Source organism: Homo sapiens, chromosome 11, assembly GCF_000001405.40.
Source record: "Homo sapiens chromosome 11, GRCh38.p14 Primary Assembly".
Lineage (NCBI taxonomy): Eukaryota > Metazoa > Chordata > Mammalia > Primates > Hominidae > Homo > Homo sapiens.
In genome coordinates, this window is record NC_000011.10 from 4,875,760 (window position 1) to 4,903,196 (window position 27,437).

General features: G+C 36.3%; 2 protein-coding genes and 2 pseudogenes across 3 annotated transcripts in view; 3 read left to right on the forward strand and 1 right to left on the reverse strand.

The window, feature by feature from the left end:
- Positions 1-27,437, forward strand: part of MMP26 (matrix metallopeptidase 26) — a 287,646-nt gene that overhangs the window by 170,976 nt on the left and 89,233 nt on the right. The window lies entirely within an intron of this gene.
- OR51H2P (olfactory receptor family 51 subfamily H member 2 pseudogene) lies at positions 798-1,744 on the forward strand (annotated as a pseudogene).
- Positions 6,141-7,124, forward strand: OR51T1 (olfactory receptor family 51 subfamily T member 1). Its single transcript, NM_001004759.3, has one exon. The coding sequence runs from the start codon at positions 6,141-6,143 to the stop codon at positions 7,122-7,124; it is 984 nt and encodes a 327-aa protein (NP_001004759.2).
- On the reverse strand, positions 13,818-14,836 carry OR51A6P (olfactory receptor family 51 subfamily A member 6 pseudogene; annotated as a pseudogene).

A 27,437-nucleotide genomic window follows, 5' to 3' on the forward strand; every position in this document is an offset into this window, starting at 1 on the left:
ACATGCAAAGTAGCATGCTGATAGTTTTCAAAGATACGGATGAGGACATCTTTAAGGGTATTATTCTTCCTACCACAGTAGGTCTTTTTAAAGTTCCTTGGGAGCCAAGGTGACTTCTTCCTCCCTCACTTGCTGCAAGCTCAGATCCCTTTAGTACTCACAGACTCTTAGGAATACAGAAGGTCAGAGCTTTAAATTCCTTAAAGTGTGTCTTTCCTCCTCCATCCTACATCATACGAGTGCCAAAGAGGGAAGGGATTGATAAATTGAGTACTAAAGAGGGAAATAATCATATGAAAATCAAAACAATTTAAGATCACAACCAAGATGCACACACATACATCCACACATTTATATCTGCACATCTGTGTTTATGAACAGCCCTTATATTAGGACTGTGGTTATATTCTTCATGGTTATTGGTGTTCGTGTTTATTATACATGTAAATACACAATGTCAAATTCTTCCCTAGTATTGCAGTCTGCAAGACAGGTAACTTCTTGATATTTCTGAATTGCATATGTCCCTAGTAGGTGCAGATGTTAACTGGAGGTTTTTTGTTTGTTTCTCTTTCTCCTAGATATTTTAAAATTTTATGGTTAGTAGCAGCATTCTCGCTTCATGAAGCAGGGGCTACTGGTTTCTGTATCAAACTGAGCATGAATGTGCAAGAATAATATTTAAGTTACTTCCTCTTACAGCTACCATCTCAATACTTATTGTTACTGATTCCAGTTGAAGTCAGTTTGACTTAATGAGCTCTTCTCTATTTTCCTACTCAAACCTCTATTCCACCATGTCACCACTCAACCAAACTACTGAGAACCACCAGAGCTTCTTCACCCTGACTGGGATTCCAGGAATGCCAGAGAAAGACTTATGGATGGCCTTGCCCCTCTGTCTTCTTTATAGCACCACGATCTTGGGAAATGTCACCATCCTTGTTGTCATCAAAGTTGAGCAAAGTCTCCATGAGCCCATGTATTTTTCTAGCCATGTTAGCTGCCACTGACCTCAGCCTTTCACTGTCTTCCATGCCTACCATGGTCAGTGTTCACTGGTTCAACTGGCGTTCAATAACTTTTAATGGCTGCCTTATCCAGATGTTCTTCATCCACACATTTGGGGGAGTGGAATCAGGTGTTCTGGTGGCCATGGCCTTTGATCGCTTTGTGGCCATCCGCTTTCCTTTGCACTATGCTACAATTCTCACTCACAGTGTCATCAGCAAGATTGCAGCAGCCATCCTGCTACGGAGTGTGGGGGCTGTGCTCCCTGTGCCTTTTCTCATCAAAAGGTTACCTTTCTGTCACTCCAATGTCCTCTCCCATGCATACTGCCTCCATCAGGATGCCATGAGGCTTGCCTGTGCTGACACTGGTGTCAATAGCATCTATGGCCTGTTGGCTGTGATCTTCATCATTGTACTAGATGCCTTAATACTTTTGGCCTCTTACATTCTAATCCTGCAGGCAGTATTGAGCATTGCTTCCCAGGAAGACAGGCTCAAGGCTCTCAACACCTGTCTCTCTCATATCTGCAGTGCTGCTTTTCTATGTGCCTCTCATTGGTATGACCCTAATTCATCGCTATGGGAAGCATTTGTCACCACTAATACACACATTCATGGCCAATATCTACCTGCTTCTCCCTCCTGTGCTCAATCCCATTGTGTACAGTGTTAGGACCAAGCAGATCTGATAGCAGATTGTCCAGGCCTTTTGTGGGGCTAGGGTTAGCCCTTAATGGCATCTACTATTTCCAAGTAAATGCAATCAAGTTAGAGAAGAGTATCAAATACAGCACTATCCAATAGAAATTCCCACAGAAGTGGATATTTTCTATTTCTCTGCTGTTTAGTAACTAGTAGCTGTACATGGCTATTAATTGCTTGAAATTTTGCTAGTGCAAGCTGAGGAACTGAATTTTAAATGTACTTAATTTTAATTGATTTAAATGTAAATTTAAGTAGTCATATGTAACTAGTAGCTGCCGTATCAAATAGTACAAATACAATGGGTAGTGATATGAAATTGCATAATGGTTTTCATGAGAGCAATAATTTATTTTAGCTTGATAAAACATAAACATTTATACTTTAAAATTGTATATAAATTTTCAAACATTTATGTATAATAAAATTTACTCACTTTGGTATATCGTTTTACAAGTTTTGACAAATGCGTTGTGTTCCCACCACTGAAACAAAGATACAGAACAATTTTATCACTTCCCCAAATTTCTTTATGCTTCCCATCTGTGGTCAACTACTCTATTATCACCCAACAGAAGGCAAACATTGACTGGCAAGCATTGATTGGCAATCCTTCCCTATAATGATTGTTTTTCCAGAGTGGCATGCAAATGAAACCTTGCATTATGCAGTCTTTTGTGTCTAGCTTCTTAGTAAAATGCTTTTGAGATTCACCTATGTTATTGCATGTATTGGTAGTTTATTCCTTTTTATTGTTGAGTAGTTTTCTGTTGTATGTCATTTTTTAATAACTTTTTTGAGAAATCTATCCGGACTGCTTAGTCCATTAGAATCACTCTGGTATTCAGTGATGAACATAGAACATTTATTTTCTTTTGCCTTTATTTGTGTATTTATTTATATATTTTATAACATAAGGTATACATATTTAAGGGGTTGGAATCAGAAAAAATATTAAAAATAAATAGCATGTGCAGAGTTTGAGAAAATGGTGCATTCAGTGAGTTGGAAAAATAAGAAATTTCATATAAGCTTTAGATCTCAACCTCAGCCTCACTTCTGTTCAGAGGGCTTTTCTGACTTGTGCTTAATATATACTCCATATGAACAGGGACCCTTTTATCCCACTTCATCATACCTCAAGTGTGTAATGTAGTTTAGACCATATGGTGACACTTAATATATATTTTTGAATTAGTGAAAACTATACTTTATTAAGATTGATTTAATACTTCCTATTCTTTCTGTTCTTATTTAATATTCATAAATCTTATCTGAAATTTTCAGTCACTCATCTTCACTGATAGGAACCAGGGAAAGAGGGTGGTGTTTACTTATGCATCTGAGCATTACCTGATGTGTAACTTTATAAAGTTACTTGATCTTCCTTGATACTCACTGGGATAAGCACCTTTGCTCAGTGTGACTCATACGTATATAGTGAGAATATATTTGGAAAATGTTTCAAGAAACAAAAAGGGCCGGGCGCGGTGGCTTACACCTGTAATCCCAGCATTTTGGGAAGCCGAGGCGGGTGGATCATGTGGTTAGGAGTTTGAGACCAGCCTGGCCAACATGATGAAACCCCATGTTTACTAAAAATACAAAAATTAGCCAGGCATGGTGGCAGGCACTTGTAATCCCAGATACTGGGGAGGCTGAGGCAGGAGAATTGCTTGAACCCAGGAGGTGGAAGTTGCAGTGACACGATATCGTGCCACTGCACTCCAGCCTCAGTGACACAGAGAGATTCTGTCTCAAGACAGGGGAAAGTACAAAAAGCCAGGGTAGATTAGATATAATCAGGATTATTAATTGACTGTCTACTGTGAATAGTTGGATTCCAGTCTAAATGAAGCTTAAACCATATGTGGGCACACAGTTGGGAATCAATCTATGAAATCGACAGATTAAGGACAATGAATTTAAACCATAGTTCCTGAAGATATGAGTGGAAACAGTTGACATTAGAAGGTAGTATAGCATGATGGTTAAGATGGAAAGCTTTGAAATAAGACTTATTTCAAAATTTTGAGTACCATTTCTGAAATAGGCTTGAGTACCATTTCTGCAACTTGCTAACTTTTAGACAGCGAAGTTATTAAAAAATCTCTCTGAACTTCAATTTCCTCAGCTGTGAAATAATAGGTAATAATACTTAACTCATAAGGTTGATTAAGACAATGCGTTTGAAAGATATAGTTTCTGAAGCATATTATGTGTTCATCAAATGTTAAGTTACTTATGCGTAGAAGGTAGATGGCTCCAGATATGACTTGAATCGGAAGGGTTCTTAGGAGGAGTTCCTGTGTAAGAGGAGGGATGTAGGAATGGCCAGGAGAGTAATGAGACCTCTTAGGAAGAGGATATATTGAAAACAGAGAACAATGGGATGACTCTTTCTGCTCTCCTAATCCAGCTCTGACATTCAGGGAGCCTTCCTGGCTGAGATTCCTTAGCCTAAGGCTGGGTAAAGAGGAATGGTTATAGTTATTTGACCCAGGCAGGCAGTCTTAGCAGATATCTATTACTGTCTGCCTCCAGGGCTAGGGCTCTTCTCCCAGCCCTTGATGGATGGGATTTGCTTGGGCCTGGGAGCAGGGTTTGGGGGTAAGTCTCGGAGATGTGTCTGAGTTGCTGATGGGTTCCATCACTCACTCCAACCAGAATGCTTACTAATCAAGAATGCTCCCCATTGCCTGGGGACTCTACTAGGCTGCCTATAAAGCCCTCGCTTTTGGAAGCTGGTTTAGTCCCTGCTCTGTTATGGGACTGAAGAGAAGTTGGTGGTGTTTCCTGCTGATGTGACCAGGTAAGACGGGAGTGCAAACGTGGAGAAAAAAACTGAAGTGGGGCAGGGGGAGTTTTTTAAAAATGAGGGATGGTAAGATAAGGAGAGGAAGAAGATAAAGCAATAAATTGATGGGAACTACAAGTAAGATGGGATGAAGAAAGGGAGGGGTGTAACAGATACTGGAAGAAATTGAGATGGGAGAGAGAAGACAGGAGGAGAAAGAAGAGAAAAAGGCAAAAGACGATAGGACTCAAAACTCCCTTTCTGTGGCCATAATTGTTTGGTAATCAATCAATGTTGCTAAATGAAGATTTCTGTTTTTCCTGATCCTGCTTTAGTAACTAGCATTGAGAGATTAAAAACGTGCATTCCCAAACTTTCAAGAATCTCAAACTTCTGGCAGAAGAACACAGTACTTGGATATATAAATTACCAATATCAGTTGTGCCTCATTATTAAGCACCAAGGGAAAGGTCCAAGCAAAATGTGGGGCAAAGATTGAAGCAGAGGGTAGTTTTAGCTTAATATGTCAGGGAACTTTCAGGGTATATTCTGAATTGTGGAGGAAATATAATTCAGTGTTAACAAATTAACAGAAGGTAGGGGTTGGTAAATGAAGAGGATGGGTCTGTAACATTACTGATGCCAGAAAATAGGGATGTTGACCTTTGGGTCACTCTGTTATTGAGTTGAGTGAGTGTTATTCAAATAATTTCACCTGGTCTTCTGTATATGAATGGGCAGATGCTACCTTCTTCCTGGCCAGTCAGATGGAGACTTGTACCTGAAGAGAGAAAGCACTAATATATTGCTCTGGTTAGCCAGCAATGTTGAGAAAACCTTGATAAATTTAGGCACTGAACTTTGACCTACCACTGGCTCCAGAGTGTATGACCTCACAGAGAGAAAGCCCTCTGCTTCTTCTTCTGTCTCCATTCCACAGGAAAGATTTCCCCAGCAGCAAACGGAACCACTGTCTCCTCTCCTCTTACCGCCTTGCATTATCCAGTGTCATTTCTTTGCCTTTATGAGATATCATTCCAAGAACAGAGGATAACTGATATCTGCTTTATAAGCATCTCATCGCTCAGTTACTTTTGCACCCCCAAATGCCCTCTGCATTCATCTGCACGTGAAGACAAAAACAATACAAACATATGTAGACTTTTATACATAATTTTAAAAACACTTGGACTCCACAAACATTCTTCTTTAGATGAGTCATGAGAACATAGTTCTCTATTTTGCTTATTTCTCATCTCTACCCCTCCTGTACATCATATACAAGTATAAAAGGATATTAAAAAATTGTATTTTAAAGGAAGGAAATTACAACATTCAGCTATCCAAATTGTCTCATTAGCCTGGCCTCTCTGATCATCTGAAGTTTAGTAAAAAATAATAGACTTTGGAGTTAGTAAATTTGGTTTTGAATTTGAATCTGTATTGAACTATTTTAGCCTAGATATACTATTTAACCTTCCTGGGTCCATTTCCTTTCTTTAAAACAGAAGAAAAATAACTACCTTAAATTTAAAATTGTATATAAAATGACTAATAAAATGTATGCTATATATATAAAGAATCTTAATTATTTTTCTTTCCTCATAGTTCAGTGTCTTCAACCAACCATGGCAATATTCAATAACACCACTTCGTCTTCCTCAAACTTCCTCCTCACTGCATTCCCTGGGCTGGAATGTGCTCATGTCTGGATCTCCATTCCAGTCTGCTGTCTCTACACCATTGCCCTCTTGGGAAACAGTATGATCTTTCTTGTCATCATTACTAAGCGGAGACTCCACAAACCCATGTATTATTTCCTCTCCATGCTGGCAGCTGTTGATCTATGTCTGACCATTACGACCCTTCCCACTGTGCTTGGTGTTCTCTGGTTTCATGCCCGGGAGATCAGCTTTAAAGCTTGCTTCATTCAAATGTTCTTTGTGCATGCTTTCTCCTTGCTGGAGTCCTCGGTGCTGGTAGCCATGGCCTTTGACCGCTTCGTGGCTATCTGTAACCCACTGAACTATGCTACTATCCTCACAGACAGGATGGTCCTGGTGATAGGGCTGGTCATCTGCATTAGACCAGCAGTTTTCTTACTTCCCCTTCTTGTAGCCATAAACACTGTGTCTTTTCATGGGGGTCACGAGCTTTCCCATCCATTTTGCTACCACCCAGAAGTGATCAAATACACATATTCCAAACCTTGGATCAGCAGTTTTTGGGGACTGTTTCTTCAGCTCTACCTGAATGGCACTGACGTATTGTTTATTCTTTTCTCCTATGTCCTGATCCTCCGTACTGTTCTGGGCATTGTGGCCCGAAAGAAGCAACAAAAAGCTCTCAGCACTTGTGTCTGTCACATCTGTGCAGTCACTATTTTCTATGTGCCACTGATCAGCCTCTCTTTGGCACACCGCCTCTTCCACTCCACCCCAAGGGTGCTCTGTAGCACTTTGGCCAATATTTATCTGCTCTTACCACCTGTGCTGAACCCTATCATTTACAGCTTGAAGACCAAGACAATCCGCCAGGCTATGTTCCAGCTGCTCCAATCCAAGGGTTCATGGGGTTTTAATGTGAGGGGTCTTAGGGGAAGATGGGATTGAAGGTAGGAAATTGTCAGGACACGAATTATGCTTTGGAAAGAAAGGGACTTGGGGCAGTCTTATCCACAGGTGTTTTGGTTGCTGAGTCAATTCCAATTGAATTTTAGGAGTGGGAAGAAGACAGTAATTTTCCCCTGAGCTTATCAAAGAGTTTTATTTTTAATTTTTAATACCATAATTTAAACCAAATTAATTGAGCATATGTCCCTGAACCATTTTAAACAATGACATGACTCCTGTGCATATAAAAGCAGACTAGTCACTTTAATATAGTGGAAAACTTTATCTCCTTTAAGACAGTAATTTTTAGACCAGAAGTAAATTAAAATTTTATTTTCACATCCAGCTGAACAATTTTTTTTTTTCCCTGAGGTGATATTTCCAGTGAGGCAATGAAGGTTGTTACTTGAGCTGGTAAAAGGAAAAGTTACATATGTGCACAAAGGCACACACGTAGAAAGTTATAATTAAAAACTTTAGGAAAATCTTGTACATTGGTTTCAGTTCCTGGTGTCACTTCTAGAGAGTGCTGTATCCTTACAAATATACTCCCTATACCTCTATCTTTCTTTAATCCCTTTTCTTCTTATAGAAGTGATATTTTTTCAGTTTTAGTTAGTACTTTATATACCTCCAATCCATCCAATATATAAAATTACACATTGACTTTCATTGTTTTCTCATTGCCTATATATTCTAATATAGTTCTAATCCTGATTCCATAGCTACTCCATTGCTAACTCTCAGAACTGCAGCTTTTTTCTATTTGCTCTTGTTTCTTGGGTTGTTAATTTTCTACCTAGCTATTGACTGCTTCTACCTTCTGGTATACTCATCACTCTAGAATTGCACAGTAGCTTTGATGCTTTTGAATAGGAAATTTCTAGATTGCCTTTATTAACAATATTTGTTTTGTGAAGAAGTAAACTCAGGCACAGGGTTGTTAGGGTGCTGGAGATAATTCTTCACATTTTTTTCCACAGTTTTGATAATTTCATCCTACCTAGGATAACTCATGTCTGAGCATTGTGGACCAAGCAGTTACTCTGATTTGAGCCACCTCTCTCCTCCCCTTATATAAACTTCCTGTTCCTTGGCAGATAGGGAACACCACTCCCAATCTGGTTTGTTGACCTCAGTTTTCTTTCAAGCTATGTTGTTCAGCTCAAGCACTGACAACTTTGTGATTTTGCTTCGCTTGGGCTCCAATCCCCTTTACCAACAATAATCACATATCATTTATAATTAAAAGTAATTGCATGAGTTTCCTTTCATGCATTATACTCAGGTAATTGAGATTACATAAGAGTGTGTGGCGGGACTCACACACTTTTTAGGTGAGGAAAAACAAGTGAATGACCGTCCTATAAAGTATGCAATTATAAGTAAAATTCGGTTTTTCAAACTCCAAGTCCCTCATTGTAGCTAAAATGTTTCTTTGCCTTGTGCACTCAGCGGGAAGTCTTTGTATTCTATTATACCACAGTTCAGTATTTTACCTTTCAAGTTTTTGTTCTCATATTGCTGCCAAATAAATGTCTCTTTGGTTCTGTCCTCATCAAAAGGAAAAAAATACAACTATTATTCAAAAGTGCAAGAAGCCAAAGATATATCTAGTTTCTAGACATCTGACGCCATACAATTTCCCTTAGAGAGTATCATACTATGGCAGAGTCTCTGACCCTGAAATTAACTTGTGGCAGAGCAGACGTCCCAGAACACACACTAATCTAACCATCCAAACTTTTCTGCATCAGTTATTTCAGATGTCTCTGGCTTTACGATTGCTTCTTTTGAAGACTTTTCTAAAAGTTCACCTTGGCAGATCTACAATCCTCTATTTGCAATGGAGAAGTTTCCAAATATCTGGAAAAACAGTATTTTTTTTCTTTCTTAAGTTTGGTGTCATAATTTATTGGCTAAAAAGCCTAATAGAAACTTGTGTGAACATATTTTTGGATCATAATTTATTTATTTCACTCATTTCCCTTCAGAAATATTGCTGTGTTTGAATGCAGGGTAATACCTCAAGAGATATATGGCTCTTTAAAGTATAAAATGTAATTGAATTCCAGAGGTTTTAGATGAACAATTGTGAAAATGTGTGATATTTCTTCCAGTTTTATGGCAGTCATAAAGCAGTCTGCTGTGTGTATTAATCTTCTACTACTCAAAAATGTAGTTTTTATACCTGACTAAAAATGTAATCTTTTCACTTAAAAAGAAAAAATTTCAACAATATACTCCACCCCTATGGTAATTGTCAATAGGCTACGAATTTGTGTTTTGTTATTTTATGCAATGTATTTTATATATTTGGAGTTTTTCTGATTATGAGTGTCATATATATAATTAAAATGTGTGAATGTGTTGAGAAATAGAAAAAAAATTTAAAATCTAATACCAATTATTTGCAATCCTATGGAGAGATTATATAATATAGTCATATGCCCCACAATGACCTTTCAGTCAACAATGGGCCTCATATGCCACAGTAGTCCCATAAGACTATAATATTAGTATTTTTGCTGTGCCTTGTCTATGTTTAAACAAACACAAATACTTAACTGTATACAAAAACTAAAACTGTAGCATTGTGTTACAGTTACCTCAGTATTTAGTACAGTAAAATGCTGCACAGTTTTGTAGTCTAGGAGCAATAGGCTATATCATAGGTATGTAGTAGGCTATACCCTCTAGGTTTGTGTAAATACGCTATATGATAGTCACGCAATGATGCATTTCTCAGAAAAAAATCCCCCTTATTAAGCAACTCATGACTGCATATAGCCTAATCTTTTTTTAATAAACAAACACATGGGCATACATATGTATACATTTATAAATTAAGATAATAGTTTACATGCAAAGGTATGTCTTAAATATTTACCTGCTATTATTCATTATTCTCTATTAAGTTACATTTTATATTAGGTTTTACTTCTAGGAAGCTTTGCTTTCATTATCCATCAAAATAGGCCTGTTGCCATTCCTTTACATATGCTTTCTTAGGTGTATGATTAAAATTACCATACTTTGCTAGTTTAATTACTTATTTACTTGTTTTCTTCACCATCTGAACTCCATGATAGTAGGCCTATGTCTTATGTAACAACCAACACAGGGTTTAGCAAACACCACTTAGTTGTTGATGCTGTGTTGCATTGGTAAATAACATGTCATCATCTTTGCATGTCATGGTTTTTGCTACTATTTCCTATTACTTAACACTTCCGTAACCCTTGATATATTTTCTTATAAATATATATTTGATTCTATCTCTGATTACCTTTATAGATTTCCAGAAATATAAATTATTAAATTTAGAAGGAGGCAAAATAACTGTTGGTCTCCTTGTGTTGGCCAACTGTAGTGGCTGAAGTTGTGGGCTCTGGAATCATACTGCCTGGGCTGAGATTTAAGCTCCTAACACTTTATTGCTCTATATTCTTAGAAAAGTCATTAAACTTCGTAAGTCTTTAACTTCCTAACCCAGAGAAGAAGAGGAAGTAATAAATTCTACCTTCCCAGGTTCTTGCAAAAGTAAATACTGTTAATTCCGGTAAACATATAGCCCAATGCCTAGTACCTGGTCAGCACCGGGTACATTCTATTGTCATTATCTTCTAAATTTTGACCTCCAATGTTATTCAGATAACTAATTGTTTTTCAATAAATACATGTACTGCTGTTTGTTCTCATATTGCTGCCAAATAAATATATCTTTGGTTCCACCCTCATCAAAAGAAAAAAATACAACTATTACTCAAAAAGTGCAAGAATTCCAAGATATATTTAGTTTCTATCATCTGACCCCAAACAAGGATTAAGGTCAAAAGACTTTATTTTTGACAGACAGCCTGTTGGCAAACTCAGAATAAAACCACAACCTTAAGGATTATTTGTAAGAGACTTTGTAAACTTCCACAAGAATTCCAGGGTTGCTTTTTTCTTTTCACTTTTCCATTGTAGTTACATTGTAGTTATTTAATCAGAGAATTTTTCCCATCCATATGTGATTTGTTTGCTTATATTTCAGTAGATTTTAAAATTATCTTTGTACTTAATTCTTAATTTATTTTTTTGTGGGTGATAAAAATCATATGCACACAAATATGAAATATTGTATAGGTTTTCATTATTCCTCCCTGTATTATTTGACTATTCAATCAATTTTATATAATGTTCTGATATTTCTTGATTATATGTTACATTTTCAGATCTTATATGATATATATTAGTGTGATTATTCTATTTTTTTGTTCTCATTGATTTGTTGAGTAAACTGCACAATTTTACAGCTGTTTAATAAATCTCACTATTATATTAAGCTTTATTATAGTTTGTAATGTATTTATTTTATTGTATGTTCTTCAGTTTACTCTTATATCTCTGTTTTTAGAATTATTTTAGTAATCACAAAAGAAATGTTACTGGAAGTTTAATTACAAATACATTAAACCTGTTGGATAATTGAGAGAAACAAACAATATTTAGCCTACTGACTCTTCTGATCCAGAAACATTTATTGACATTTTATGACCTGAGTCATTTCCATCAAGTACAGATTTGAATTTCTGAGTTGAGGAGAAAAACTAAAAACTTTGTTGTTTCTTTCATGAAAATATGTTTCCATTTTCTTGAACAGAACATGAACTGTTTTTCAGGACAGCTTCTTTGACTTGAAATTTATAGTTACTCCTTACTTCTTTTGGCAATAGGTTTCCTAATACGTCAGATGTTTGATGTGCTTGTAATTTATCAACATATTCTGAGTTGTTAAAGACATTTTTGTTGTTGTTTTGGTTTGTTTTTCAAAGCAAGTTGGGAAATGTGTTAGTTAGACTACTAGTCAGATGCAATTTTTTATACACTGTACAAGTGCTAGAGACATGCCAATAAATTTCATTAATGCAATTCCTCTGAGGAAACAAAATACAAGTTAAGAGAAACAGACATGCAACTGATAATTATGACATAAATGGAGAATGTTTGAGGTCACAGAAAAAGACTTGAATAATGCAGTCTGGGAGGAGATAAGGAAGATTGTCCCTCCCTTCCCCATGAGGCTGTGGGGAATCTAGTCAGGATCAACTATCAGACAATAAGGACTCACCTAAATTCACCTGGGAACACAGAATATATAAGAATATTTTGCCATATAAAATATGTAAGACTAGTTGAACCTTCTTCAAAATGGTTCTCTGAAACAGAAATAACAGTAATTACTTGTGAGCTCAACTTAGGCAGTAAAACATTGAAATATGTTAATAATAGTTTTCTAATAATTCATAGCAGAAAATTGTTAAGGTCTGACTTATTCTAAATTTTATGTTTTATACCTTTGTCTACTACTAAGTACTCACAAGTAAAAGATAGACAAGAAACAAATGATTTTTACAGAAAAAATTTGAGGTAACCAAACATCTTTAGTTGGCTATTTTCTTTTAAAAATATGAAACTATAACAATGCATATTGTGTTATATTGAATACTATATTGTTATTTTATGCTAGTTTAACATTATTTCTAAGCTTCTAGTGAAATCGAAACACTAGATAGTAATTTAAAATATCAAATGCCTAAACAACCATTAAGAACCATTATTTTAGAACATATATTTTAGAACAGCTAATCAAGAATATCAGTGCTTTAAAAAATGCTGTATTTTGAAAAACTTTTTCCTATTTTTTACCAAAAGCACAATCATCCTTCTGTTCTTTTAGTTGACCATGGCTTATGGAACTTTGCCGTAACATAGAAAAAAATTTGGTTTTTATTAAGGAATGTTATGAGATAGTTTATTGCCATAATTCAAGGCTGTGAAAATGATAAGGCAAAAGAATTCCTGGTTCTACTTATTTCATTGTTAAGGAAGGTGCAAAGGGAGAGGATTGCTAACCAACTCATAGCTGACAATAGACTTCTTTCACTTAAATGGGAAATCAACTATTCACACAAAATTTGACTGAATGCTCCTCAACAAGTACCATGTGTCTGAAAGTCACCTGAAAGAAACCAGCAACTGGATTGGGGTGATATCCTTTAATCTTCAGCTCCTTGGTATTCCTTGTCTGCAAGGGAGTACAATCCCTGCTTTCATATGTACTTATCCTTGTCATATAAACTGTGTAACTAAAATGCTGTATCAGTGTGTTGAGTCATGATTTCCGTAACATTCTAAAACTGTCACATACACACTTATCAACATACATGTCAGTCCTACACTCACAGGAGTAGGACACTCACTACACTTAAACAGCTTATATGCTGGACTGACTATAGTCATCCCTTGTTATCCATAGGAAATTGCTTCCAGGACCCCAAGGATGCCAAAATCTGAGGACCTTCAATCTCATATAAAACGGCATAGTATATGCATCTTACCTACACACATCCTCCCATATACCTTAAAGTATCTCTAGAATATTTATAATACCAAATACAACAAAAATACTGTGTAAATAGTTGTTATGCTGTATTGTTCAGGGAATAATAACAAAAAATTATCTACATGTTCAGTACAGATGCAATCAATCACACTTTTTTTCTGAATATTTTTTATCCGTAGATGTGAAACCTATGGGTAAGAAAGGCCAACTGTGTATGAATAATTAAGACAAATAATGGTAAATAATTGATAATACTTTGCTTAGGAAGATATTATTTTCTCTCCTGATCTTGTACCACGTTTACTGACACCGTTGTTGTAGACCCAGTTTTCCTAAAACTTTTTCATGAATTTGCTGTGTCTTCACACAATATACAATGGGATTCATAAGAGGTGGCACTAGCAAGAAAACATCAGCAATGAGGATCATGGCCAGTGGGGACCTGTGCTTGCCAAAGCAGTTCATGGATGCCAAAGCAGTGCATGGATGCCAAAGCAATGACGGGCGCATAGAAGATAAGCACAGCACAGATATGGGAGACACAGGTGTTGAGGGCCTTGAGCCGCTCCCTATGGGATCCAATTCCCATGATCGTCTTCAGGATGAGCACATAAGACACAGTAATGAACACACTTTCTGACATCATACAGAGGGCAAGAAAGAAACCATAGAAGAAGTTGACAGTGTTGTCGGAGCAGGCCAGCTTCCTGACATCCTGATGGAGACAATAGGAATGAGAGAGTAGGCTTTTCCTACAATATGTCAACCTTGTAAGAGTGAAAGGAAATGGGAGTACTAACAGCATGAGTTAGTTGTTTCTTTTAATGAGTTTAGTGTTGTTTCTCTTTTAATGAGAAACAACAGCCCCATTTTGGCAACTCTGGCACTGGTGAGGATACAGCTCACCAGTACCTCAGATATGTACCTCAGAGGGTGGCATATGGCCAAAACCGGTCAAAAGACATGACGAGAAGCACTGAGGACTCCATATCTGTGAATCCATGAATAAAGAATTCTTGAGCAAAGCGAGCATTTGAGGAGATTCCTGTGGCATTGAATACAAAGATCCTCAGCATAGTGGGTAGGTAGGAGAGGGACAGGCCCAGATCAGAGACAGCCAACATGGAAAGGAAATAGTACATGGGTGCATGGAGTGAGGGCTCAGTCCTGATAACAAAGAGGATTGTGCAATTGCCTAGGATGGCTACCAAGTACATGAGGCAGATGGGGACAGATATCCATATATGGGCATGCTCCAGCCCTGGTATTCCAATCAGAAAGAAGGTGGTAATCGCAATTTCAGAAGAATTGGGAAGGTGCATGATGAGTCCATTGAAAAGTATTCTCAGGTCTGAAATGACACTCAGTATGGATCTCCTGTGTTCATTTCCCTCCTTTCAGCACGTTTGTCTATGAAATAAAGAAAATGGAATTGTGAAAGACTTATTTCAAGAAATAAAAGAGAGATATTACTTCTAAACAGACTGTAATAAAGTCAGATCTTGACTGACAAAGGGAACCAGAAATATGGGTACTTGCATACATCCCTGTTAAATCCTCAGAAGGCTTACCCACATAAAGAGCAGTAACTTTCAAACAAATTCCTCTTGTGTTATTAGGCTTTACCTTACCCCATTTCAATGACAAATTGTATAGAGTCAGAATGGACTATAGGACCCCCTTCCCTGATCTGGAATGAACTCAGAATAATAATAATAATAATAATAATAATAATAATAATAATAATAATAAAAGTAAAAGGACTGGGAAACCCCAGGAAGTGGATACTAGTTTTGAAGAATGAAGAAAATTAGTGGTTTCTCCAATTTCTAGTCATTTGTTGCAAACATTTGTTCAGGCAAGGTGTGACAGGCTGTTCTCCCATTGCTATAAGAAATGCCTGAAGCTGGGTAATTTACAAAGAAAAGAGGTTTAATTGGATCGTGGTTCTGCAGGCTCTTCTAGCATGGCACTGCCATCTGGTTGGGCTCTGGGGAGGCCTCAGGGAGCTTTTATTCATGACAGAAGGTGAAGTAGAAACAGGCATGTCACATGGCAAAAACAAAGTGAGAGGGGGAAGGGAGGTACCATATACTTTTCAACCATCAGATTTTGTGAGATCCCACTCACTATCAAGAGGACAGTACCAAGCCATGAGGGATCTGTCCCCATGACCTAAACACCTCCCACCAACCCCCATCTCCAACATTGGGAATTTTATTTAAACATGAGATTTGGTTGGAACAAATATCCACACCATATCACCAGGCTCTGAGCTTCTAAAGCTGTTTTTACCCACAAGCTCTTCAAAGGAAGCAGTCCAAAGTAAGGACATAACAAATGCCATGTATGATTGACTATTAACCCTCTCCTATAGCATAGTGAAAACCCCACCTTTTTGTATGATAATGATTACAATGTCCTTATGTATGACCAATTCATAATGGTGCTCTCCATCTTTGAGGATGGGAGGAAAGAAGAGATTCTTGGATTTTCTCTATAGCTCAACATACACTTTCACAGCTATAGAGTGGCTCTCTCAACTAAACTATAGCAAGATTGGAGACATAGTATGTCACAGATGAAGTGGGTTGGTACTGCCTGGGACCATTTTTTCTCCCTGGAATTATAAGGTAAATAGTTTTTCCACAAATCCAGGGCTTTTTCATAGGCAACTTAATCAACTATATGTATTTGAGAGTTTTCATATGCTTTGTAGCATTAAGCATATCAGAGACAATGAGGCTGCAAGACATATAAAGCATATCCATCTCTACTCCTTGGCCTAAAAAAAAAAGTTTTATTGAGAGGCTAGGGCACTGTAAAAGAACTCTTGACAGTTAGGAACAAAACCACAAACTTTTCAACTAGTTTATCCTCCAGAATGAGACTATCATGAGTCATTCCTCTTCTAGAAGACCTGGGCTACCTTCCAAAAAGGATAAAGCAGTTGTTTTGTCATAATCTGGATATCAGCCACTCTCTCTCCCCTAAAGTCCACATAAAAAAAGTATGCAGAGATCCTTTTGGACAGTGTATCATTAATTCTTTAGCAACTCCAATTAGGTCAGCTCAGAAGTGTCTTGGCCCTTAAAGTCTTCCCTTCTAATCACTCCAAGCAGAGTCCATGTATCCCTACTATAATTTGCATTGCAACTCTGTTGCAGTACCTCAATTGTCCTGTGATTTGCTATTTATGTGTCTGCCATCCACAGTAGCCAATAGAATCATTAGAAGCCCAGCTTGTGTCAGGCCGATCTTGATATTTTCTTCACCAAGCACAGTTCTTGGCAAATAGCACACATCCAATCATTATTAATTAAATCTTATTAAACTGAATTGATTTCCATTTGACTAAACTGATCTTGAGAATTATTTTTGTTCTGTGTGAGTGACTGAAGCTTCTTTCCTTCTTTCAAAGAAAGTACTATCTATAATTTCTATATGAGGATGTTCTCTGATTTGAGGATATAAGAGTCTTGCTTTGGCATGATCTTTGTCACTTCCCTATAGCCCAGAGAGCAGAGTACATTGATGTATTTGCCTTCTAGTTACTCAACTGTTCAGATCTGTTCCAATATGAATCTCATGTTGATTCATTATTAATATTAATTTAACATCTATTTTAATACATTAGGATTAATTCCTTTCACTCACATAGCATTTTATGTTTTCTTCTGCTAACGTCAATCTTTTTCCAGCCTGGATTTAACCATCCGGCTTTGGAAGATTTTGAAATTCTGCTTGATTCCTGTCTCTTTCTTCTTGATACCTTGGGCTTTGTTCTCAACTCCATTCTATATGCCATTGTCAAAGTCATGTTTAATGCCCTTCTTTTTCCCCAGTCTGTATACAAGAATGGTCTACGTAGTATAATATACATACTACATATTATTTTATGTTTTATATCAAATATAATATGGATCAAATAAACTTCTGTTTAAAGGTTTAATTATCAAAATAAAAATAAGTTAATAAATGATAAAACAATATTTAATTATAAAATCCTTCATTCTTCCAATATTTCTCTTTATGTTTACATTAAAATCTATACTTCTTACCATAACTAATAAGGTCCAATAGGAGAAGACCACTAGAAACCTCTTTAGTATACTACAACCACACTCCTTTTAGCAGCCTCTCAAACATTCCAACATGTTTCCATCTCAGGACCACTATACTGCTTTCTTCTCAGCTCAAATGCCCTTTCCACAAATGTTTGGGTCACTCTTCAAAAGTCATGTCCTCAGAAAGGTCTGCTTTGAACACCCTCACTGCCTCAGTCATACTCTTTCCTTTTGTTCCGATTCATTTCTCTTAAGCAGTCTTATCTATTTAAGTGTTTACAGTAAGAAGGAAAATCCAATTCTGTCACTATATTGTTTTGTGTGCCTCTGCCACATAGTAGACCTTCATTAAATACTTTTAGTTAAAAAAGAATGACTAAATAATGTATCTTAAGACAACATTAATATATTTTTGGTATAATGAGATCAATTCTGTATTTATAAAATGTATCTTATTAAAAGATCTTGTTGGCACAATGGCTCACACCTGTAAGCCATCACACCTGTAAGTGTTTTGGGAAGCTGAGACAGGATGATCACTTGAGTCCAGGGATTTGAGACTAGCCTGGGCAATATAGGGAGACCTTGTCTCTACAAAAATAAAAAAAAAAACAAAGTAATATCCTTTACAAAATATTAAAAATATTTCAATGTTAGTGCAATATACAAAATACATAAAATATAAACATACAATTATTAAGATTGCTGATTAGTCTTTGCATATGTTGTTACAAAATTAATTAAGTGCTTTATTTTACCCCCAAATGCTAAGGTGTAGGGAAAGTAGACATAAAAGTAGAGTGGGTTAAAAGAGAAAACAGAAAAATCAGAGAGATAGGCATTAATTTTTAATGCATTATGCTAGATGTTTTATATCTGCTATTTCATTCAGTCTTCACATGGTAGTATTATTCCTGATTTACAGATTTGAAAACTGAAGCATAGAGAGATTAATTTCTCAAAGAACAGATATTGTTAAGAACACATGCAATTTGAATAGATGTACTTTGATTCTGAGCTTTTTAAACTATATCTTGCTTCCTATCTCATGTTAATTAATATAATTTAAAATGTTTAGAATGCAAGGAAATTGCATTCTAATTGAGGATATGTACAAATTAGGACACAGTATGCAATATAAATGTTAAGGAAGGCCGAAGCCTTGGTCTTTATTACATGTCAGTTTCATTGCCCTATAGAGTCCCATCCAGAGCAATTTTAATCAATTAATGTCATTTCTATCACATTTCTGAAAAAAATACATCAAGTAAGAGGAAAAAATGTCCATAATGATTGTAGTAGCAAAACTCAGCAAATGGAACCAACTCTGAAACAGCAAGGGCAATACCTGCTAAGCCAGATCAGGAGGTAAAGAAGGTAAGAGACAGCTGGAGCCTTATAAAGCTGAGGAGAGAAAGAAGAGAGGGTAGCTAATTTTAAGAGAGGAGTGAGAAGAAAACATTGGGAAGTATTACTATTTGCTAGACTAGAGTTTTTGCTAGATTATTTTTATATTCAAATATTTCTGCTTTCCAAATCAGTTCATTTCACTTGTTTAAACTTGAAAATATATATTTGTGTATAGAGCTCTGTGGCATAATTTATGAACAGGAAATAGTAAAATAGCAAAATTACTTTGAGAATAAGAGGTAGAGTTGGCAAAGCCCTAATCAGTTGAAAACATAATAAACCTCCCATTAGCCATATTTATAATTAAAAAGGGACTAATGCATTTTCCCCAAGTACAGTACCTTATGTAGAAAGTTTACTCAAATATTTTTAATTAAATTGATTTTGTAAAGAAAGCTTCAGATTTTACTACTAACAAGTATTAAAATTCAGCATCATCTAAGGATGCTTTTCTTAGATGATGTCTTAAATTCTTTATATACATCATTACAATTCTTTATATACATCAACAACCCGATTATGCCAAATTGTTCTCTGGTCCCTGTTCCAAAGTTCTTATAATTACTTGAAACCATAACGTCATCTCACCTGCTCTTTCTTCCAAATCTGAAGCCCCCACCTCTGATTCCAGTCTAGTGGCTAGAATCCTGTTATCTATGGACTGACTTCCGACCCTGTGAAGTCTGCTTTTCTGTTCTTTGCTGGGGCAGATCATTTGTTCTGCTGTCAGAGTTATCCTATTTCCAAATCCCTATCCCACAAAGAGTTCTGAGTCTACCCAGTATTTTCTCTAACCGTGAATAAACAGTTGCATGATTTCTGAGATGAACAATAGATAGGTGAAGTGAAGTGAATAGTGCCAACATCAAGGGATAGCTGTAAGATTTAGTGGCTGGATGCAGTGGCTCATGCCTGTAATCCCAGCCCTTTGGTAGCACAAGGTGGGAGGATCACTTGAGGCCAGGCATTTGAGATCAGCCTGGGCAACATAGGGAGACCCTATCTCTACAAGAAAATAAAAATAGTTATCCAGGCATGGTGGCACATGACTGACTATAGTCCTAGCTACTCAGGAGGGTCACTTAAGCCTAGTAGTTTTAATCTGGGGGAAGCTATGATCACACCACTGCACTCCAGGCTGAGTGACACAGTGAGACCCCGTCTTGGGGAAAAAGTACAAGGAGATTTAGTGCCTTTTAAAATTTTCACAACTTCTCCAAGTTTTAGTGAAAGTCTCCTCTTGTCTGGCAAAGATAACTCCAAGATAAGCTTCCTGCACTTCCCATTGAAACCTTATTGTTTGTTTGTTTTTTACCTCTAAGTTCCTCCTATGTCAAAATTTCGGAGTTTCTATTACAGCCACCCTCATTTATGTTCCTTCCAAATCTCAGTTCTTAGAGCACTCATATTTCAGACACACTTGAGGACATAAAGCCATATTACAAGACAATATTATGTTATGGTCCTATTTTACTTACCATTTAATTACATAGAAAAACAGAAATAAGTTTATTCTAGCGCTTTCTCTGCCTCAGTGCCCCACGTCTGCTTGCCAAGACTTTTATCTACACACCGCTGATTCCTTGATCTATCTTCTGAGTTTTCCTCTCATGGGACACCAATCCCTCCAGCTCTGCCACCCTCTGTAAACAAATGATTTCCTTGAAACAGTTCCTGAAAATTCCCAGAGGAGACCCTGGGTCAGGATCAGATCACAGCTTTTACTGACTGGTTCCCACAAGGCATTGCTATGGTCAGACTGGGATGGACTAAAAGTTTTGAACTAAACACATCAAAGAGAGTCTACTTAGAGATTAGGAAAAGCAGTTGAGGCTACCAAGAAATCACTTAACCCTAGATTAATCGATATATTATTTTAGGTTTATGTTTCTTTGCTGCTGCTTCTTTTTTCTTACAATCAACGAGGTGTTTTCCCTTTTTTATGAATAAAATATAATTTACACATGGTAAGATGGATAAACACAAAGTGTATAGCTAAATGGATTTTTATCCACTTACGCAAACAAGTAACATTAAAAAAGAGGAGTGCTAAAAACTCAAAATCTGAATATGCTTTTTTCTTTTTTATTTTAGTTCTGTTACTTGCTTTGTTGTGTCTTTTGAAACTTTCCTACTACATGCAAATACATTAAGATGGCTATTTCTTCTTGATGAACTGACCTTTCATCATTGCAAAATGTCTCTTTTTCCCCGGTAGTATGTCTTACTTTAAAGTCCATTTTTGCTAGTAATAGTATGGCCACACTGACCATATATATTCATATGCATAATGTATCTTTTTATATCCCTTTACTCATGACCTATCCTTATATTTAAAGTATATGTATACACACACACACACACAGACACACACACACACACACGCTGATTTTTTGTTTATTTTTTTTGGATGGAGTCTCACTCTGTCGCCCGGCTGGAGTGCAGCGGCAGGATCTCGGCTCACTGCAACCTCCAGCTCTCTGGTTCAAGCAATTCTCCTGCCTCAGCCTCCTGAGTAACTGGGATTACAGACACATGCCACCACGCCCAGCTAATTTTTGTATTTTTAGTAGAGACAAGGTTTCACCATGTTGGCCAGGATGGTCTCCATCTCCTGACCTCGTGATTTGCCCGCCTCAGTCTCCCAAAGTGTTGGGATTACAGGCATAAGCCATCATGCCCGGCCTATATTTTTAATCCATTGTGACAAGTGCTATTTTGTAATTGGGGTCATACTATTATATCAAAACATTTATTTTTATGACTATCTTTGTCTTACTTATTTTCTCCATCTTTTTCTTTTCTTTGTTATAGCTTTCTCACTTATTTTGAAACTGTGAATCAAATAAAATCAAGTATGTTTCAGTATTCTACTTCATTTCCTCAACTGGCTTCTTAGCTATACTTGTTTGTATTTTTTTTTTCAAAACAGAGTTGATCCTTAGAGTACGAATCCTTAACTTATTAAGATAGTCTACCATAAACAAATATTATATTGTACCATATGTAATGCAGAAGCTTTTAATAATGTGCTTCCATTTAACTCATATTTATCCTGTATGTAATTATTAAGTACATGTTTCTACCTGTGTTGCAAACCTCTCTATATGTTGTAATTCTTAAATGGTAAATAATTTTCCAGCAATTAAGTAAATAAAAATAAATAGAAATAATAAATAAAAATTAAATAATAAATATTATATATTATATATAAATAATAAATTTAAAAAGTTTCTATTTTCTCATATATTCACCCCTTTGTCATTTTTTATTCTTTTCTGTTCATTCCAGTTTCCTCCTTGTATTATTTTATGTTGCCTAAAACTTTCCTTTAGCATTTATTGTGTGAAGGTCTTATGGCTATGGATTTTCTTAGGCTTTGTCTCTCTGCAAACATATATATTTTACTGTCCTTTTGAAAAATAGTTTTGAGAAATTTTGAATTCCAGGTTGACAATTTTTTTCTTAGTACTTTCAAAAGATAATTCTATTGTTTTAAGTATGACATTGTTTTTCATGAGACATTGGCTGTCATTCTAACCATTATTTCTCTACTTGTATATCTTTTTCCCCTCTTATTTTATTATTTCTCTCTTTTTCTTTGGTTTTCAGGATTTGACTATAATGTGTCTATGTGTTAATTTCTTTGTGTTTATCCTGTTTGGGGTTGTTTGCTGTGGCTCTCTTCTCAAACATAAAGGGCTCATTCCTCTGAGTTTCAGTTTAAGTCTTTCTTGTACCTACTATTCTTTTACTGTCCTGCAGAAAATTGTTCTTTTCAGGACTTTCTCATTGTTTCTATGGGGATTAATGTATTTAATATCTTTCCACGTTCTAATGAGGAATGTTGAATCTCTGGGTTATAGTAACAAAAATAATGTTAAAAGAATATTTTTATTGTTAGCATTATTTATCTTCCTCAAAAGTGTCCATAGGTATGTTTTTTAATATATAGGGGACATTTACTTACCTCCTCCATATGAAGAAATCCAAACCTATCTATTCCAGGAGTCACTGGATCTACTCTTTAAATTAGAGTTTATTAGAAATTTAAGAAATCTCTCTCTCTCTCTCTCTCTCTGTGTGTGTGTGTGTGTGTGTGTGTGTGTGTGTGTGTGTGTGTGTTCTTTCAAGAAAAACAACTGTAAGAATGTGAAGGAAGCTTTATTAGTTAGAAAGATAATTTGACAGTCAAGGCAGTAGCAATTGAGGCCTCTGTCAGTGCTACAGAAAAATCTGGAACTGGAACAACCCTTCAGGATTATCCTAAATTGAAGCAAAGTCTCTGTACCCTTGCATTAACCAGTAACTGAATGTGGCCTGCTCACCAACAAGGGTTATAAACTGGATGAGACAAGTTCATTTTGATTAGAATAATTCCAGGAAAGGACTTATCTGTATTCCCATAGCAGCCCCAAATTCAGGAATCTGGGAGCTGATGTCTTAGTTCCGAAGAAAGGCTGACAGAGAAATTCACTGCATAATTTATTGCAGTCTACTCTTGTATTACTCAAATTCAACTGCTTCATTTGGGAATAGCTCTTCTCATGTTTGTGTTGTCTATTTGCCCAAGAAGAAGACACGATCATGAAAAGTTTGTGAACGAACTACAACATACATCACTTAAGCTGTTCTTGAAACCTCAACTGATCTTATCATCTGCCATCTCTATAATCCATTCTAAATTCTTCTTTAGTAAAGACTACAACATTTATTGCATAGGTTTCTTTCATGGTAGAGCAACCAGATCCTTTTTTCAAAGGGTAAAAATGTCTCTATAGAATGACCTTTTCAGGCTAAGGCTATTTCACTTGCTAATTTATCATCAAAATTTGCCAGGATGGTACCAAGAGACAACCAGTCAGCTATCTGGGTACTGAACATATTCTTCCATTCCTTCATTGTTTATTAGAAGCCCTATCTTTTCCTGATGATCAAGGATTAATTAATTACCCCATCAGGCTAATGACCTCTTTCCTTGCCAGCTTGTTTTTGAGCTTAGAGAAGATCAAAGTTATTAGGCAAGAGCTTAACATAAATTTTATTTATTTTATTTTTAAATTAATTAAAAGATCCTCACAATGTCTCCCACTCTGAAAATGAGGACCTTTAGCTCAACAGAACATAAATTGCAGAAATAGGAAACACAAATTTTCCAAGTAGGTCACCAAAAATGATGGTAAGTGGGACTACTCTTAATTTCAGCTCTTTTGTTCCCAAATATATTTATTCTAATCATTGCAGTCAAAGCTATGTATAATGATTGTTGGTGTGTTGTACATGACGCATCTGGGGTATGTTGTCTCATCCTCACTAATGTCGTCTCTAAGGTGGAGACTCAACTCTACCTGTTCTATTTCTGTACCAGATTGGAAGCTTTTGAGTGGTGTAGCCCATGATACAAGCATGGTTGTGTGTCTACTGTTGCAAGTATTCTAAAATGTGTCCCTTTTCATGAAGTGATATAACATAATGTCCTATGCTGGTGGATCAAACCCTTTGTAAGCCCTGAGATACTAGGTTTGGCTATGACTCTTCAAGAAAATAAAACAAACCTACACCCATCATATGTGTCAATTTCTATCAAGTTCATTTGCTGCCTTTTGTGGGGTAGAATAATCTTCCATTAAGTGGCCATTTTCTACTCAAGAAGTGATGCTACATTGGGCAGTTAACATTGTTTTCTATCATTGCCAGGTTAATATTTAGTAGAAAGAGAAGTTTTATCAGCCTTGTTGAGTGGGAAACTATGCTTTGTGTTTATGCAGTTTTCATCCTGCCACTATAGCTACTTCAATTAGGAGCCAATTATGCCACCACTGAGGTTGCTTATATCAGAATCTAGCTGATATAAATTGTCAGGTCCACTCAGTGTTCTTTATAGCTTAGGTTCTTTTCCATTATGTATAGACTATGATGAACATTGATCTTTTATATAAAGATCTTCAAACTTTGTTCTAACTTCTAGAACCATCCACATGCCACTTCATCCCTCTGCCTCTTTGTCACTAGTATTCCAGTCTTTCTCCTTCCAACAGCCTGGTCAATTAGCCAAGTTACCCACCATTAACAATAAGTTGAATTTTTGTGTATTCTTACATAGAACCACCTCTTTTTTATACAAAGAGGATGAGTGAGTCCATCAGCTGATTTGTCCGTGGGATGTATTTCTCCTAAGTACTATCTTTCAAAGTCACTCCTTAATGGATCAGTAACACATCTACAGTTCATTTTTGGCATACCAACTTTACTCATTTATGAACTAACTTGGCTTTCATCCCCCACCAGCTGGTCATAAGGGATCATCCACGTAGCTACAAGTGTAAGCTTAGGGAAAGTGCACCACATTGCAATAGTAGTGCACTAACATCAGTGGACTTCGCATCACCTCTTTGTGCTTTTTTTTTTTTTTTTTTTTTTTTTTTGAGACGGAGTCTCACTCTGTCGCCCAGTCTGGAGTGCAGTGGCGTGATCTCCGCTCACTGCAAGCTCTGCCCCCCGGGGTTCATGCCATTCTCCTGCCTCAGCCTCCTGAGTAGCTGAGACTACAGGTGCCTGCCACCACACCTGGCTAATTTTTTTGTATTTTTAGTAGAGACGGGGTTTCACAGTGTTTGCCGGGATGGTCTCAATCTCCTGACCTTGTGATCCGCCTGCCTCGGCCTCCCAAAGTGCTGGGATTACAGGTGTGAGCCACCATGCCCGGCCCCCTCTTTGTGCTCTTTCAGTTGTGCTTGATGGTCTTACTTGTGTCTTAGCATGGGCATACGTCTTTCTGTTATGTGAGTAGAATTAGCACTCAAAGTGTGGCATATGCTGCCTCCGGGGTTTCAGGAGGTCACTACATGTGGTACTTTCTTCTTGGTGGTAAAAGATAAAAAATGCTTTAGTTTGTCTATTAACTGAGAGAGGCTGTCGCAATTTTTCCTATACCGCAGGATCCCTAAAAACTTCTCTAATGTTTAAGATTCCTACTTTTTTGTATGGGTGTTTATCTCTATCCTTTCCCACCTAAAGAGCACTGTGTTTTGACAAGAATGCCAATATACTTGCATTTCATGCTCGTCTACCTGATTAATATATTGTCATTGATATAGTGGGTCAATAAAATATTATGCAAAATATCCAAAGAAAATAAGTATTTTCAAATTATAGATTTATTATAGAAGATGGAAGAGAATATATTTGCCACATAAATACTACATACTTGATAATCGAATCCAGGTTAATCTTAATCTTCCCTGGTAAAAACACTGCACCTGACATAAAACTTTAAACTGATGTTTCTACTTGGTTGAGATTGGAGTCCACAGTAGTCCTCCATGACCCTTTTCGTTACACACACAAAAGTAGCCAGTAAGAGAATCCAGTTTACAGAGAATGCTCTATTTATAAATAAATCTTGTGAGTTACCTTTCCTCTGGGTACTATTACAGTTCACTTCAGATGAAAATTTTAACAATAACTTGCTACAGCATGTCAGGGACCATCAACATTTCATCTGCAACCAGTGATGTGGTTCCTATTGTGATGCAGACAGTGATGAATCCAACTCTAGAATTTCTTATTGGCAATCTGTTTTCTAGAATCTTTTCTCACTTACAAGTAAGAACACAGTATCTGGTTTTCTGTTGCTGTGTTAATTTGCTCAGGATAATGGCTTCCAGATGCATCCATGTTGCTCCAGAGGACACGATTTTGTTCTTTTTTTGTGGCTGTGTAGTATTCCCTGGTGTACATGTATCACATTTTCTTTATCCAACCTTCTGTTGGCACCTGGGTTGGTTTCATGTCTTTGCTATTGTTTGACACACTTTTTAGTTGTGTTGTTTGTTTTCTTATTGAGTTTCAAGAATTCTTGTGTCTTTTGCAAATATTTTCTTCCAATTAGCAACTTATAATAAAATGTTAAGTCCCAAGATAATAAGGTGGGTATCAAATGCATCTGCTAGAATAGCCCAATGACATTTAATAAGTCTATTTGCTTCAGATAACTTAACATGGAGAATATGTAATCTCATTTATCTTATGGGAGTTGATCGTCTTCTCCAGACATGGGAACTAGCAATGAGTGGGCTTATCCCTGCTCATTGTTTTAAATTTCTATTCATTTCTTATTCACAGATATATGTATTTTGTATTTGAGCCATGTTGTGTCTTTTATATTATTATTCCATTAAATTGTATTAATTAAAATTATTTTATTATTAATGTAAGGCTTTCCATTATTTTAACCAAAGTTTTTCTTTTTAACTTAGAAATATGCTTTAAGAAATACTTAAAACAGTTATATATATATCCTTATTTTATACATTTTTACTTAAATTGTCTTCACATTTTTATATTGTTTCATAGCCTTAAATAATTATTATTTAATTTAAACCATGATGGAACTGACATATAAAATAGAAATATGTGAATAAAACGCAGGATACTCCTCGGACG